Genomic DNA, 17,860 nt, shown 5'->3' on the forward strand with positions numbered 1-17,860 from the left:
GGATTGAGCATCAAATATAACAATAGTATCAGGGGCAGAGCAGTGAGCAGAGGAAGGAAAAGCAAGAGACAATATACACTATGAAGAAATGATTTTGTGGGCAAATAATGCATCATGAATTCTTTAGTAGTTGAATTTTTTTCTTTTTTTTTTTTGAGATGGGGTTTCACTCTTGTCACCCAGGCTGGAATACAGTGACGCGATCTTGGCTCACTGCAACCTCTGCCTTCTGGATTCAAGCAATTCTCCTGCCTCAGCCTCCCGAGTAGCTGGGATTACAGGCACCCACCACCCCACCTAGCTAACCGTTGTATTTTTAATAGAGATGGGGTTTTGCCACATTGGCCAGGCTGGTCTTGAACTCCTGACCTCAGGTGATCTGCCTGCCTCGGCCTTCCAAAGTGCTGGGATTACAGGAGTGAGCTACAGTGCCCGGATGAATATTTATTTTTTAATTGACAAATACAAATTGTATAATATGTATACATTATGGGATGGCTAAATCAAGCTAATTAACATACTCATTTATCTCACATATTTTTGTGTGTGTGGTAAGGAAACTTAAAAATGGCTCTCTTAGCAATTTGCAAATATAGAATGCATTGTTATTAATTATAGTCACCATGTTGTGCAACAGATGTCTTTCTTGCCTTCCTCCTGCAACTAGAATGGAGCTTTCTGATGGCGGGAAGCATGCCTGGCGTGTCACCCTTGTGTGCACAGCACATACGCCAGTCCAGGCACTTGTATCTCAATAAAAATGGCGAACTTAGTGTGCTTTAAGTTTGATCAGATTTAAAAAGATAAAAGTACCAAAACTAAAAAATAGGTAAACCCATAAATGGATGACTGTACAAGTAGTGGAAGAGTAAGGTTTTTCATATACAGCCTATCTGAAAACTACAGCTAACAGTGATTTGCCAAACATGGTCAAGCATTAACATCCCCTAAACCAATGGTTTGACACCACGAAATAGCCGCATAACACTTTTCTGAGTAAATTAAATTTTTATATAGATAAAAGTGGTGATTCATTAGTATTCATATATTGTTACATCATTTTTATGGAATTATTAAAGACATCAATAGTAATAAGATGATTTCTCAAAAATGTGAAATTGGGTTTTTCCTGATAGTTCTAGTCTTATATCTATCCCTGTGCCCTGTGAATTATTTTTCTTGACTTCCTTTTGTGTTTTTGAACAGTACTGAGAATATTCTGGTTTTCAAAGTTGAAGACCCATCATTATTACAACTATTAACAGCTTTCCTTGAAATCTATCAGAATATTCTTCAATTAAACTGATTTTGAAACCTACACAGGAGAGCTGGCAAATTCCAGAGTTGGTTGTGAGCACTATGTAACAAGTTTTCAAATTTCTTAACATCCTAGCAATTGAAAATTAGACACGGAACTCAGTTAGCACTAAATGTTATATGATCTTATAAGGCAATAAAGGCATCTTGTGATATGCATTCATATTTTATCCAACAATGAACTATTTAGGCCAAGATGAGAAAATGGCATGGAGCATGTTCAACTGAGCTTTGCCTGGCATTGAATTCACCACATATTTATGCACTTTAATAGAATATTTGCTGGTACATTTCTATCTGACTAGACATGAATAGGAGTGGGCTTTATAAACACTATTACTTAATCAACAACCTATACATAAAGAGTTTAAAATATATAAAGTGGTTACAGTGAAAGCCGTATCCTTAGATCTAAACCCCAGAAACCTAACCTGGCAGAAAATAAATATTAACAGATAACATTTCCTGGGTACTTATTTTCCAGGCTTTCTGCTAAACCATTTTCATATATTAATTGGTTACTTCTTCGTAATGACCACATGAGGTACAAACTATTATGATTTTGATTTTACAGTTCAGAAAACTGAAAGACAGAGAGAATAGTTATAGCTATGGGTTCTGCACATCGGACTTTTTTTTTTGTCGCCCAGGCTGGAGTGCAGTGGCGTGATCGTGATCTTGGCTCAGTGCAAACTCCGCCTCCTGGGTTACAAATAAAGGAAAGTGATGTGAAATACCTAACCTTAAACAGGGCAGTGCATTATACAATAAGCATCAGGTAAAATAATAACCATGGGACTAAATATAGATATGCTAGAATTTACTAAAGAATGTACTAAAGAAGATGGTGGGGTGAAAACTCATAACTTCAGTGTGAGCCTCCTACCTCACCAAAAGCCAAAGAGTCAGTAGCCTAGCTTCCCTGCTAGGCTTAGTGGGAGCAGGTCCCTGGGGACCAATACCTCTGAGATCTCTGTGGACTGAAGCCTTCTTAGCCTTCATACCTACATATAGTCATGTGCCACATAATGACATTTTGATAAACAGATTATATTTTTATCATGCTTATTCTTTGTTTTAATTAATTAATTAATTAATTATTTTTGAGATGGAGTCTCACTCTGTCTCCCAGGCTGGGAATGCAGTGATGTGATCTCCGCTCTCTGCAACCTGTGCCTCCCAGATTCAAGTGATTCTCTTGGCTCAGCCTCCTGAGTTACTGGGATTACAGGCACCCGCCACCACACCTGGTGGGGTTTTGCCATGTTGGCCAGGCTGGTCTTGAATGCCTGACCTCAGGTGATCTGCCCGCCTCGGCCTCCCAAAGTGCTAGGATTACAGGTGTGAGCCTATGTTTAACTATATTTAGATACATAAATACCACTGTGTTACAATTGCCCACAGTATTCAGTATTGTAACATGCTGTAAAGGTTTGTAGCCTAGGAGCAATAGGTTAAACCGTTTAGCCTAGGACTTTAGTAGACTATGCCACCAAGATTTGTGTCAGTACATTATGATGGTTGCACAATAACAAATTACCTAATAATGCATTTCTTAGAACACATTTCTGTCATTAAGTGATGCATGACTGTACTTATTAAAAAATAAGGCTGGGCATGGTGGCTCACGCCTGTAATCCCAGCACTTTGGGAGGCCGAGGCAGGAGGATCACGAGGTCAGGAGATCAAGACCATCCTGGCTAACACGGTGAAACCCCGTCTCTACTAAAAATACAAAAAAATTAGCCGGGCGCGGTGGCACGTGCCTGTAGTCCCAGCTACTCAGCAGACTGAGGCAGGAGACTCGCTTGAACCCGTGAGGCAGAGGTTGCAGTGAGCTGAGATCGCACCACTGCTCTCCAACCTGGGCAATAGAGGGAGACTCTGTCTTTAAAAAAAAAAAAAAAAAAAAAAAAAAAAAAAACTTACATATTACTTATTAATACTATGTGCTAGGCCCTACACTAAACACTTTACAAATACTTATTTAACCATCAAGCAAGACAACATTATGAGGTAGGTACTATTTTTATGCTCATTTTGCAGATACCGAAGCTGAGGAGAAGTAATTTGTCCAAGGTCACAAAACTAGTAAATGGGAATTGAACTCAGATAGACTAGCTCTAGAATCTGCATTCTTATCCACTGTGCTATGTCAAGAGGATTCAGGGATGGAGGGGCTGTAGAAAAAATATGATTAGTGAAGTTTATTTCAGTTTTCACATACTTTCGAAGTGTCACCAGAGACTGCAAAATTTTTTAAATGAAAATCAAAGTCTTGATGGTCTCTAGTTTAAAAATGATGAAACTAAACACTTCATAAAATAAACATGATAGTTGTAGAGTCCTAAATTGCTAAGTAGTCTTTGTTAAGAAAAAGTATGTATGTTACTGGGTACATAGTCAAAAGACAACAAATTGTTCCACCAAAAGACGCATGTACTCACAGCACTTTTCACAATAGCAAAGACATGGAATCAACCTAGGTGCATCGACAGTGGGCTGGATAAAGAAAATGTGGTACATATATACCATGAAATATTATGCATCCATAAAAAAGAACAAACCATGTTGAACTGTAGGCCATTTTTCTAGGTGAATTAACACAGAAACAGAAAATCAAATACCTCATGTTCTTACTTATAAGGTGCAGCTTAACATTGGGTAGTCATGGAGATAAAGATGACAGTAGACACTGGGGCCTAATAGAAGAGTGGGCAAGGGTTGAAAAAATAAATATTAGGTACTATCTTCAGTACCTGAGTGTGGAATTATTCATACCCCAAACCTCAGCATCATGCAATATACCCATGTAATAAACCTGCACATGTACCCCTGAATCTAAAAGTTGAAAAAAGAAAACATATGTGTACACACATACAAATATACATAAGCATATATGCATGTATAATTTATAATTATAAATAATAAAACAAGAAGTCTGAATAATTTCATCAACTGCAAAATTCACTCATAAGCAGAGAAACAGAAACAAAACCTAAGATCCCATAGGTTTGTTGACATCCTTTTCCTTTTTGAACTAAGCCATGGTTTGCAAATCTCTCATAAGTACGGTGACAGTGGTGACAAAAATTGTCTATGTCTATAAAGCCCTGTGACCATGTAAAGCCTTTCTTGAACAGTGTAGGCTGGCAAGGTGGAATGACATTAAAAGTCTAAAGGTATGCTAGTAGGGAAATATGAACTTTAAAAATATGAACTAATTTACACTTTAAAGAGTCATTAATTCAACATTGTTTTGTCTTTCTATGTTACATTCATTATGTATTATAGTCAGCAGCTGGTAGCTCCTTTTAACCGTTTGGAGACATACATATTCAAATTAATGTTGGCTAGAAAACTGTATTATTTCCAGACGAGATGGCAAAGTTGTCTTTGATTTCACTAGGGCCTCTGTTTGAAGAATTAAGATCAGAAATGTCCAGGCAGCCAATATGTCTGATGGAAATTTTTGTATAGCGATAGGCTGTTTAACCAGTGAGTTATAGGTAGGAAAAAGGTGTCCATTAGACAAACACATGAGCCTATCCATTGTATGTTTATCAAGTGCCTTCTTTGCAGACAATAATAATGTCCCAGAAAGACAGATCCTGCCTTCATGGAACTTAAGGCCTAGCAGGAAAATGGGCAGAAAAATGATCAAGATACTGAGTGCATAATTACAACAGAGACAAATGATCTAAAGAAGTCCTTTGAGAGTGTATCAGTAAAGAAGCTGGCCTAGACTTGAGGCTGTGAGTGCGGGCAGCCTGGGATGGGCATGCTAAGAAGAAAAGGAGGAACGTTCCATACGTAGGAAAACAAAAATAAAGAAAAGGGGCATGGAGAAAAGTTCTGTGATTGAATGAGTACAGTTCATTCATGATCTAAAGGACAGCCCAAATGGACGGAACCCTGGGAAGGCAAGACAGGGGATCAGGGGGTCAGGGAGTTGGGAAATAGTGGACAATTAGTCTAAAACAGTAGGCAAGCACAAACCATCCAAACTGCAAATAACACAACTCCAGAATAAGGCGTTGCATCTCATTAGTAATTTGACAATATAGAGTAGACAAGCCAACATCACTAGATCTTGTTCACTTGTCACTTGTGTTTTATAAGACAGAATTAAGCAAGAAGATCTTAGTTTTCAGAGAAAGTCAACTCACTATTCAGCAGATAGGGAAAAGGCGTGCCTTTCTAGAAAACAATATAAAAAGAGACATACATTAAGATAAAGACTTCTCAAAAGGCCCCAGAATCTCAATGTAGGAAGAAATCATGGAGTGTGAACCCTCTTTTACATGTATGAAAGATAAAACCTAACCACACCTTAATCAAGATTACAGATTTCTATGGTCTTCATGTCTTTATATTTAGCTGCCACTTCAATTAGAAGTCCTTCAAATATGATTAAAGGTTTACTCTGAACTTTAATATAAGAGACTTCTGTAGGGCAAGCATGTGCATGGATTGACCCAATAGCATTCAATCAATTAATACATGCATATGCTCTCCAATAACTGTGCAGAGTTATTGTGCTTTCCTTTATTTATCAAAATGCCCTGAAGATTGCTTTATCTCCTAGCCATAGTCGTTCTTGACATCGCTTTAAGTGTTCAGACCCCTACTGCAGTCATTTTATTTGTAATAGTGCCTTGTGTGTTGTGTCTCCTAGCTCTACATACAAACTACCACGCTTACAATCTCCATGAACCTAAGTGCATCAGTGGCGCTGGGGATGCTATACATGCCGAAAGTGTACATCATCATTTTCCACCCTGAACTCAATGTCCAGAAACGGAAGCGAAGCTTCAAGGCGGTAGTCACAGCAGCCACCATGTCATCGAGGCTGTCACACAAACCCAGTGACAGACCCAACGGTGAGGCAAAGACCGAGCTCTGTGAAAACGTAGACCCAAACAGTAAGTAACTCTCCGTTTCTTTCATCTTCCCACCCTGCATCAGGAAGCTCTAGAAGATGTGGGGTGTGCTTGCCTCTCTGGAGAAATACTGTGATCGTTCTTGTCTTATGGGCTGGGTTGCCTTGGTGAATGCCAGCTTCTGCTCTTTTGAGTTTGACTCATTCCTGCCACCATTTTCTTTTTGTTCCTTGTTGGAAAGAAGCTTTTGGAGGCTCTGCTTCAGAAGTGTGAAGCCTCCCCCTTCCCTTGCTTCTTGTCCTCTGGTACTGAATCCTCCAACTGACAAATGCACCTATCAGGTTGTTCTTTTCTTGCACCCTTCCTGCTAAGGCAACAACTTTTTGTCAGGGAAACTTCCATACTTAATGAACTGTATCGGTGGGAATTAATTAGGATTTTGGAAGCGAAACTTTTTTCCTCTAGCATGTGAATGTTGAAAAAGTTATTTTGTACTAATCAGGTCTTCTAGAAACATATAAAATATTGGAAAAAGTTGTCAAATCCAGGTACACAGGGCCAGACACTACCATGATAACGGCATCATACTGTGGGGAAAAACATATCTACCATACCACTGGAGAAGAGTTTTATTCTATGCAAGACAAACCTTAGGGAAGAAATCAAGGAAAAAAAACATTGGATTTAAGATGCTATTATATGGCATATCTGCAAAACTCTAGGAGCCTTTAGTCATGCATGCAAATGTCCCCAGGTAAAATGGGCATATAGCTATCACTTTGTAAGTAACACAAGACCAGCTCAAAGGTTAAATGCTTAGAATTCCCAATTGCTAACTTTACTAACAATATGGTGGTAAGAGTAAATTTCAGATTTAAAATACTAGTTTTAAGATTTGTTTTCCAGGAATATTTTGGCTAGTTGCATTTAGAATGAGGCAGATTCAAATATTTGTGATACTTCCTGTTGTTTAAGGCAGAAGGGATTTCAGGTTATCCATTAAGTCATTCACGACATACTGTATTTCAGTTAGAAGCTGATCTTGGTGTCAAATGCTTAATGCCAAATAGAAGGAAGTCTCAATTTTAAGTACTCTTGAAGAAATCCTTTTTGCTCTGCAAATAAGAGAGATATCTTTAATAAAAACCAAGAAGCCAACTGGGTTTGATCCTGACAAACACTACACAAAGAACTGTGATTTTGGCCTGTCTCTATTTATGAATAGTTGAGTGAATGTCGTGAAATACTTTGAAAATATGTAGACAAAGTAACAAGGTTAATTAACAACATTGTGGGCTCCAGTTTGACTTTGTGACAGAAGTCCTAGGACAAGTCTAAAGGAACATACTGAGAAGGGAGGAACAGAATGAATGATATAGGCTCTGTTGTGTCTCCAGAGCAAGTGGCCAATTGAGAGGAGGGCAAGTGGATGGTGACTTGCTGTGGCATTCAGTGTGATGTAGGAAGAGGCTTTGGGTTGAGACATACCTGGGTTCAAATGTAAACCACTCCATTTACCAGCCATGTGGCATTAAGAATCACTGAGCTTTTCTAAAACTCAACATAATTATGTATAAAAGAGATAATAACTATGTCATAAGTGTATCACAAAATACTATATTGAGAAAATACTATATCAACTAAATGTCAACGTCTTTCCCTTCCTGAAGAGGCAAAAAGCTTTGCTTAGAAATAAGTTTCAGCATAATTTATTAAGATATAGTAGCTAAAAAGATGCAGTTAAGTGTAGATTAAACACCACAGGGTAGATAAAACTCAATCCTCAAAAGAAGAATTTATGGCTGGGCGTGGTGGCTCACGCCTGTAATCCCAGCACTTTGGGAGGACGAGGTGGGCGGATCACCTGAGGTTAGGAGTTGGTGACCAGCCTGACCAACATGGAGAAACCCCGTCTCTACTAAAAATACAAAATTAGCCGGGCATGGTTGCGCGTGCCTGTAATCCCAGCTACTTGGGAGGCTGAGGCAGGAGAATCGCTTGAACCCAGGAGGGCAGAGGTTGCAGTGAGCTGAGATCGTGCCATTGCACTCCAGCCTGGGCAACAAGAGCAAAACTCCATCTCAAAAAAAAAAAAAAAAAAAAGAAAAAGAAAAAAAAGAGAAGAATTTATATGAACATATGTGTGCATCTATTATACCTATACCTGTATTGATAAACATATATGTATATTTATAATTAGTGGCTTTTTATTATAGGTTGTCTTGTCAAATTTGCATTTCATAAAACCTTTTCTTGCAAATATTCCAATAACAGCTTTATTTTTGTACACACACACACACACACACACACACACACACATTTAACTAGATACTGTTCAAAGTCAATAAGCAGAAAACATAATTGGAGGGCTATATTTACTGGGGAAAAAGACGAAATTAGAAGTTTTGAGTTTAGACAATTCAATACTATGCTACTTAAGAATTGTTAACTTTCAAAAAACATTACTACTGTTGCTATTTAATGATGAGGTGCAATCCTTGTTGAGGCTTTTTTGGGTATGACATTGGTTGTTAAAATGCTAACACTGACATTAATGCTAATGCTTGCATAAGGTACTCATTGAAATAGGCATTATGCGGAATGCTTTGTGTGGAATGTCCCACTTACTCCTCACAGTAGATCTATAGAATAGATATTGTTATTCTTATTTTACTGAGGAAACCTTGGCTTCCCAAGATTAAGTAACATTATCAAAGCCACACATGTGGTTAACAGCAGAGGTTGGACTAAAGCCCAGGTCTGACTCTTCAACCCACGCTTGTTCCTCTTTGCTCCTCTGTTTCTTAGAATATGAATGGCATGTCGAAATTCCAATGCAGGAACTATGCTTTTGGTTTCCTTATTTGGTAATATCATTTGTATATGCAGAATATAATGATGTTTGGTGGGAGATTCTTTAAACATACTGTAACGTATTATTGCTTGTTTTGTCTACAAAGACAGGAGTAACCTGAGCTCAAAGAAGGCTGCCCAGGTAGAGGCCTCATTTGATTAATTTAAAAATTGTATTCCAATGATTTCATTTGGTATCTCTTTCCTTGCAAAAGTTTCACTGGGTCTTTGTTGTTGTTCTAGTGTCTACATAGAGCCAAGGTAAACAATTCAGAAAAATAAAATAAAATAGAGTCTTTTTCTCACCACCAGCTGGAAAGATTTTTTTAAATTGCTTTAGCTCTTTGGTTATTGTGTAGACACACCCTAAAACACCATGAAAACTTAACTAGATATTGGCTAAACCATAGGAGGAGATTCATGTACCTCCAAACATTGGGGTTTCTGATGACCCAACTCTCAAAAGTCCCAAAAAAGAATCCAAAGAGCTTATCTGCACAAAAGCTGTCCAACAGTACTTTCTGCAGTGACGATCATGTTTTATGTGTGTGCTGTCTAATAGAGTAAGCACTAGCACATGTGGCTATTGAACATTTGAAATATAGCTACTCAACTGAAGAAATACATTTGTTATTTTACTTAGTTTTTAATTAAGTAAACTTTATTTACATTGTATTTAAATTTAAGCACACACTTTTGACTGAGGCTACTGTATTGGACAGTGTAGCTCTAGAAATTGACAAGGATTTTATTCTAGGAAACTCAATTTGAGTCCACATTGGATATAGCTCCCAAAGTTTTAGCATTGATACTGATCTAGGACAAAGTCAAAACTCAAAGAAATAAAACATTTGAGATGAGACAAACATACAAATAGTCATTTAAAATGATCTCAAAACGAGCCACTAATAGGGAAAAAGTAACATCATAGACAGCAATGACATTTGAAAAACCAGTCCGCAGCAATGCAAAAATGCATGTATATAGGAAAAGAACGATAGTGAAAAATTCAATTAATAAAAACAGATATGACTATGCTATACTAGGTAACATTATAATATTCTGTTTAATGCCAAATATAGCTAAAATTATCTCTAATATCTTAACTTTTGTAACAGAGATAAATGACATTATTTTCTGAATTTAAGCTGACTGGTTAAAAACAAACAAAAACGTAGCTCATGCACTTGAAAAAGGAATTTGTCTCTCCAGTGGGCAAATTCTGTACAATATTTTCTGAGGGAGGGTGTCTGAGAGGAAGTAGAGTTTACACTATGAGCTACAAAGTAAATAGTGGAACAGAAATGTCCTCTTATTCATTGTTGCTCTAAACACTTAGTCTCAATGTATTTCAATCTTCAGTGTTTTCACTTTTAACAGCTCTGCTCCATCACTGCAGTTTGCCATCTGGTGCATGCATGCTTCTACTCATCCAACTCCACACTGCAGCTACATGTCTACATAAAAATGAATTTGCTTGCTGACTTAATATGGGAAGACATTTATACTACCATATTTTTTCCTCAAGAAATATAATTATCCTCTTAGTTTGCTTCCTTAGCTAACAGTCCATTGTATGAAAGAAAAACTCCATTATGTGTGGAATAAACAAAAAGTAAATCTCAAAATTTCAATTTATCTGCGCACTGCTGGCATATTAGATATTCAGAGTTGGGCCAATGCTTGCTAGTCTCTGCACTTAGATTGAAAAATAGCAAGCTCAGAGGGCATAGGGCTGTAGCTCAGCTACTTACTAAATTTTATTTATGCAAATAAGACTTCCATTGCTAAAAGTGTAAAAGAACCTGGCCTCGTTTGAATAGCTTTATATCTGGCCATGATGATGCCTTCTCACATTCCTGTCTAAGAAGAAGGGCACCTCAAACTGTTTCTCCCACCTGCATCCTGAATTTGGCATGTTTCCCTGTACTTTCTACAGTTCACTTGGCAGATGTATGTTCATGGCAAACTTGTAGATGCCAGATAAACAAGATGCCATGGTTGTGCTTGGGCTATGGCTTATTGATGGCCATGACGATCCTTTTCAAGTTGGATGGATAATATTAACTAAGAGGCAGCATGGCTTTATTGGGATGGGCGGATAAGAACTGCAGCCTTCTTCACCTGGACTGGTATCAACCAGAAGATGTTCTGTAAATTGTCTTTGGCTCTCATGCTTTCTTTAGTAAAAGATCACAGTGAAGAGAGGCCTGGCCCTAAGCTACCTTTCTCTTAAGCTACCATCCATTTTCTAAGCTAATGCCCGCAAGCCGTGCAGAGAAATACTTCAAGGACCTTAGCTAGATATAGAGAGTTTACTCTGGCAGGTCAGCAGCAACTAGAGATGGCAGGCGGGTGGACAGCGAGGGACACACCCTTTTTTTTGGATGTGGAGATGTATGACTGATGAACTCACTCTGGGATAGAGACTGGACATAGACTACCTAAAAGACTGGTTTAAGCCAATTAACACATTGTATGATGAACCACATGTTAGAAGAATAACAATTTGTACCTGAAATACAAAATAAGATATGGAATTGTATTCTGATGGTGTTTTTCTTGTGCTACCATATTTGCATCTACAATAAGGAAAATACATAAATAACAACTTGTGCTGTTCTCAACAAAATAAATTTGTTACATAAACTAGGACTGTCAATATAAGGAGGTATGTTATTTAAAAAAAAAAAAAGAAAGAAAAAGAATTCAGACTGCTGGAAAATGGATGTGGGCACCAAAACTCTACACAAATAATGGTGCCTAGAAAATTCTAGAACACACTTCTGTGCTGTGTTAATTTGTTATGGTTCTTGTTTTGTTTTGCTTCTCCATTTGTTTGGATCCCTAACATTCTCAACATTATGTTACTTGTTTCATCCTCTTGGACTAACCACACAGGCTGGACAGCATGACTGGACTAGGGTGAGAAAAAAGGGCTGGCAAGAAGAAGAAAATAATGCTCTGAGCAGATAGATAAATTATGTTTGGGCTGGTTCCCTCAGCTGTTCTAACTCAAGCAAGTAAAACCCAACTCCCTTAACTCAAGAGGCACCAGTACTCCCATGTTCAGAGGTACCTGAATTGAGGTGACCTGGTCTACCAAAGGATATTGAACCCACCAAAAGAGTGGGCATGATGTGTATGGTCTCTATCGCAGCCTTTTCCCAAAAGGAAAATAATAATAATAAAAAGTAATATTGTGTGCACATTTATTTTATACATACCTATATATTTACTTTTCCTGTAGACTGTATACCACCAGTAAGAAAGAGTGTACAAAAGTCTGTTACTTGGTACACTATCCCACCAACAGTATAGCTTTTGACTGCTTTCCCAAAGGTAAGAAAACAATCTAATTCTTATTTATTTATGTGTTCTTGTCTCCAATGAGAATTAGAAATGTTTCCATGGAAACTGTGCATGATTACCTGAAAATATATCTATAGGAAGAAATGAATTTTCAAAGATGATCGATTTGATAAGCTTAGTGCCAGCAGCTGCCATTGGTCATATGCCTGCTTAATTTTCTAAGGAACACGTTTATGAGTATATACACATTTGTCTTCCTGAACAGCTAGCCAGTAATTGCAGAGAACTGTTGCTGGTCATTCCGACACATGCTCTACTTTAAAACTACCAGTGGTGAAAAACTATTTCTCAGTATTTCTCAATGTATGTTTTCCTACTGTGGGCTTAGAAGGCAGTGTGGAAAACCTACAAGGAGAGAAGGGGGATGCTTAGTAAATGCAGACCTAGTAAATTGTTTGTTCTAATTTATTTTTAGTAAATACATTCAAAGAAGTGTACACATTCCTAAAAAAGTATCCATTGAAATAGCAACAAATGGCCTTTCCATCTGTAATTCAAAGTTGTCTTGGTTCCTTCTCTGCAGAAAATAAATCGGTTTACTGGCCGGGATTGATAATATGTTGATGATGATTTGTGGCTCATAGTTCTGCCTTTGAGAAACACTGAACCAACTTTAGTCATCAAGTCATCACACAAAAGCAGAAAAAGGGTCAATGAAAGACCACAAGGGTCTAAAGATTAGTTTGAACATTGGTTATACCCAAGAAATACCAATAAATGCCAAAGGTGTTCAAATAAATAGATTAGAGAAAATGATGTATTGTGTGATGTGTGAACTGGCCACATGAGTGGGCTGGCATAAGAATAATAATGGATTCACCACAGATGCTTTTATATTGCTTTAGGCTCTCACTAAAGAAAATATACTCTGAAAGGATATTATCATCACGCTGTTTCAGCCTAAGCAATATTACACGACAGTGGAAAACAACACTTGCTATGGCAAGCATCCTCATCCACGTGGAACAGGGCATTCCAAACTATGGAAAAATATGCAGTAGAGAACATGGAATAAGTTATTAAAGTCATGTGGTGGCTTTGAGTAAAATGTTCTCTTTTGATTTTCTCTGAACCTCCTATTGTACTCATATAATAGAGAGACCTGTCTCTAGAGAGATTCCAAGAGAGTAAGCAGTGAGGTCATACCGCAGGAGGGGAAAAATATTGCTTAATGATGTAGACTGGCCTTTCTCTTTCCTACACTGATAACATGGGACTTTTATCAGATCACTGTTCTGGTTCTTCCCATCCTTGTTTGTGTAATAGTATTCCGAATATAAATAAAATCTTTCTCTCTCTCTCTTTTATCCATTTAGTATGGTAAAACAGCATAAGAGTACTTCCAAAGAGTAATGACATTTTCTGTTGACTTTAGATGGATGCCAGTAACTCGGTCTTTAATTTAGGGTATATTGTTCACATAGTTATTTCCTTTTTCCCTATCAACATGATCTGTCCTAGTTTTTAAATAGGCCATTCTTTCTCCCAGTGAATATGTAACTGTATTCCCGTGAGATTTCAAGTTTTTTTTGTAGTACAAGTGCTAGTCAAAACACTGGAGCTCAACACTTTAATAGTCTTTTTACGTGAGACTGACTGAGAATAAATAAGAAGGAATTTTCCTGGGTAAAAATGATAGATTTAATCTCAATCCATTAAAAATCCTTTTGCTCCTGTCTAAGTTGACGCCTTTGGGTTTAAAGGGAGTCAGATGAAAATATTTTAAGTCAATCTTTTGGTTAAAAAACACTTTTAGGATATACAGATTAGAAGTAAATTCAAACTTGTAGCTAGAATTGTCTTACTTCAAAGATTTTGATGAGATAAAGCAATGAGGTCACATCATGAGAGGGGAATAATTGCTTAATAATGTGGACTGGTCTGTTTCCTATGTCAATATCATAGGGCTTTTATTAGTTTATTATTCTATTTCTTCCCATCTTTATTTTCGCAATGGTATTCCAAATACAAATAATAATTATATTTGGTTCCCTTTTCTGACCAATTTAAATGTGACTTTAAACATTAATGATAAACATTTTGTAGAACTGCTTCAAAATAATTGGGGATATAAGTTGGTTTAAGTTACATTAACTCAAGGAACACGTGATTTACTTGTTCAGGTCAGTAATGGGACTAGTAAACTTGGGAGGGCAATGAAAGAAGTCTCTTAAGGTTATGCGTTCAAATCCATTTCTAAGTGATTGCTTTTGGGGAGACAAGACAGTAAAAAGAAAACCACAGATTCAAGAGTAAATTTTCATATTACTGTGCTATTAAAACTTAGTGTCAGGCATCATGTTCCAACAAAGCCACACTGTTTACAGCAAATCAAATATTTGCTTACAGGGATTTGAAGGAAGTAGGTTCAAATTCAGATGGAACATAACCTAAGCCTGGTTTGAAAATGCATTCTGTAACATGCCACTGTTTAAAAGCACTCTCAGGTGACAAACACTCTCAGCCAGGCATCAGCAGAATCAATACTTTCTGCATCCTTTACATGAATATTTATAAATTTTAAAACTCTGCAAAGTGTTATCAACCTAATGACATTTATGTCGAAATGCAATTAGGTACAAAATAAAAAGCACAATTAATCTGGCATCATCACCATGACTGGGTCAGGAAATAAGTTTTGTTAGGAGGTAAATTTTCACACCCTAGGATGGTATTTGGATGAAAAAACTTTGAGAGTATAATTAAGCCTTGCGAGAATGCCAAACACATGAATTGTATTATTGACATCCATTATTGAATGATATTATAAAAATCATATTGGTTTATTGTAATGAATGGGATTATTTGGCAATTTTAAGCTTTTTGGAACTGTGCAGTGCAAGTTTTCGTATCATGTTGGGACTCTCCCTCTTTAACATTCAATGTGTTATCTCTGCTGTAACTGGAGACCACCTCCACTTAAAATTCACTTTGAAACAGTATAAATACAGCAAAGAATATATGTTATCTGACCTTTGACACTAAATCACCTTGGGAATAAATGCAGCTATAAATCTTTTTGGCATATTTCTCTCTGCCTAAGAGGTCTGTGAGACACCATCATTTCTCTCGCCAAGGCTTGATATCTCAGCATATCTTCAAAATCCAATTAATATCTGCCGTCTTGGTTCTGCAACTGCCGTCTTAAGTTCAACTTAAAGAACTGGATGAATGTTTACATGGCTACTACTTCTCTCATTCCTTGCATAAAAGAAATGTACACATCATATCTCAAAGTCACAAAAACTATGTCAAGTTTTACATATATGCATTGCACTGCCCTATCTGGTCAAGATTTTTTACTGAGTATCCTTAAATTGGGTCAATCAAAGAAATATTTGCCAAGCACCTCTCCTCTAGGCCATCCATGAACTGACTAGGAGTGGGGGACAGGAGGGGACAATGCCTTCAGGGAGCTCAGATCTGATGGAAGACTCAAAGGTAAGTAATAGACTCAAAGGTGACAAGGGCTCTTCCTCAAGGTATGTGCCAAGTGTCACCAAGCTACAGGTGGAGACCATCACCCGGGATGTTTTGCTTGAGTTGCTCTTAAAAGATAAAGGGCTCCAGGCAGCCATAAACGGAAAGGCACTCAAGGTAGGGGAAAGTATACACAAAGAACCTGCAGTACAAGAGAATGTGACATGTTCTGGTACTAGAAAGCAGTTACGTGAGGCTATTGGGCTTTGAAGCATACCGTTTTCGGGAATGAAATGCAGGAAGCAGCCTGAGGGTAGAAAGACTGAGTTTCCTTCGTCTTTGTGCCTTTAAGTACAAAGGCTAGTAAGTACTAGGCTGTGAGAAAATGTGCTTGGAATGAGTAGCGCACAATACTTCCCATACCAAAGGCTCCTGTTACCTAGAACTCGGTAGATGCACGGGAAACATTTATAAGTGAATATTTGTTAGCAATAATAATAAATATTATAAAAATAAAAACAATAATAAGTCTACAGCCTCAGCAGGTGAAATTATATTCTTCCAGATAAAGCCTCTAAGGTCACAAAGCCCACCCTAAAAATACAATGTATAAACGTGATGTCACAGGTTTCAAAAATATGGTGTAGTTGTAATGTACAGCTCCTGAAATGGGTGTCAGTGCCACATCTCAGCTTGTGTAATTAATTTCTTTTCTTGTGCTAAACCCATTTATAAACCAACGAAGTTTTATGCCTATTTTATTTCATGGGCCACAGATATCTATACTTTCAAAGTGCACATGAACTTGAAAGATTCCACTGGACATGGATCCTAAGGACTTGCTTTAAATAGTTATAGATTCTAATTTGGTAAACACAAAAACATAAGCAATCAAATTGGTGGTTTTCTGACTGTTGAGTGCATTTCCTTAGAGACTGTCATTCAGGACAGATTTTGTCTTTATCATGATACCAAATATCATTTGTATTTAAAAAACACTGTGTATCCTAAACCAAGGTCAGTTAATCTCCAAAATCTTTCTTTCCCCCAATCATTGTGAATGAGCATCTTCCCAATATTCAAGAGAGGTGACCCTTGTGACTCGTTTCCATCTACTAAAGATGTATCTCAACTTTGCAGATTTTTTTTTTTGGCTGTACAGTGGAACTTGGATTACACTTTAAATTAACTTTCTCTAGGAATCAAAGGTAATCATTATTTCTCTCTATGATCTAAATGACTATTCTCATGTTTTTTTTCAAGTTGAAGATTAGTTTTCAATTCCCTTTATATCTCTGCCCTTTTTCATAGTAACCTCTGAGGACCTCAGCTTGCACAAAGAGGATTGAGATAACATTTCCAAAGCTTGTTCTTCTTGAGCTGACCCAACACTTAGGAAAACATGACATGGATCAGCAACTCCATTTTCTGTAAGTGTTGGTCCAAGTATTGGTTATAACCTGGCATGTGCTATCTTTTTCTCTGGTCAAGAAAAAGAAAAACTGGACTGGGAGTCCCATCCTGGCTCTGATACTTGGGGTAGCATAAGCTTCATCACTTAATGGATCTCTGATTGTGGATAAGTTTCAATCCTCAGTTTCCTCTTTAATAAGATGGAAATAAGCTAATCTTGATGAGGTACCATGGAGGTGGCATGAGATTCTGTATATGAAAGCCCTGTTTTGAAGGGCTGACTGTGCATATGTCAGGGTACATAAGATAACATTGTTGGTCTCTGCTCATCTGGTTTTTTTATTCTGTTTTGTTTATTTATTTATTTGAGATGGAGGCTCGCCCTGTCACCCAGCCAGGAGTGCAATGGCATGATCTCCGCTCACTGCAACGTCTGCCTCCTGGGTTCAAGTGATTCTCCTGCCTCAGCCTCCCGAGTAGCTGGGATTACAGGCATGTGCCACCATGCCTGGCTAATTTTTGTATTTTTAGTGGATATGGGGTTTCACCATGTTTGTCAGGCTGGTCTCGAACTCCTGACCTCATGATCCGCCCACCTCAGC

General features: G+C 37.6%; 1 protein-coding gene across 7 annotated transcripts in view, besides 1 other annotated feature; it reads left to right on the forward strand.

The window, feature by feature from the left end:
* GRM7 (glutamate metabotropic receptor 7) overlaps positions 1 to 17,860 on the forward strand; it is an 880,419-nt gene that overhangs the window by 812,939 nt on the left and 49,620 nt on the right. For 2 of the 7 annotated variants that reach the window (NM_181874.3, XM_017006272.2), the window contains exons 9-10: positions 5,996 to 6,242; positions 12,304 to 12,395. In NM_181874.3, coding sequence (NP_870989.1) covers positions 5,996 to 6,242; positions 12,304 to 12,374 — 318 coding nt within the window. In that variant the 3' untranslated portion in view covers positions 12,375 to 12,395. Of the gene's footprint in view, positions 1 to 5,971; positions 6,243 to 12,303; positions 12,396 to 16,985; positions 17,051 to 17,156; positions 17,276 to 17,860 lie in introns of those variants that run through there. The other 5 variants (NM_000844.4, XM_017006273.2, XM_047448052.1 and 2 more) reach the window with 4 other exon arrangements.
* Positions 8,576 to 9,143: an enhancer, noted in NCBI's record as "OCT4-NANOG hESC enhancer chr3:7724316-7724883 (GRCh37/hg19 assembly coordinates)". NCBI's record gives its function as "activates a minimal SCP1, AML or CMV promoter by ChIP-STARR-seq in primed H9 embryonic stem cells {active_cell/tissue: H9 hESC(primed)}" and the evidence as "EXISTENCE:reporter gene assay evidence [ECO:0000049][PMID:30033119]".

The sequence above is a fragment of the Homo sapiens genome, chromosome 3 (genome assembly GCF_000001405.40).
Source record: "Homo sapiens chromosome 3, GRCh38.p14 Primary Assembly".
Taxonomy (NCBI): domain Eukaryota; kingdom Metazoa; phylum Chordata; class Mammalia; order Primates; family Hominidae; genus Homo; species Homo sapiens.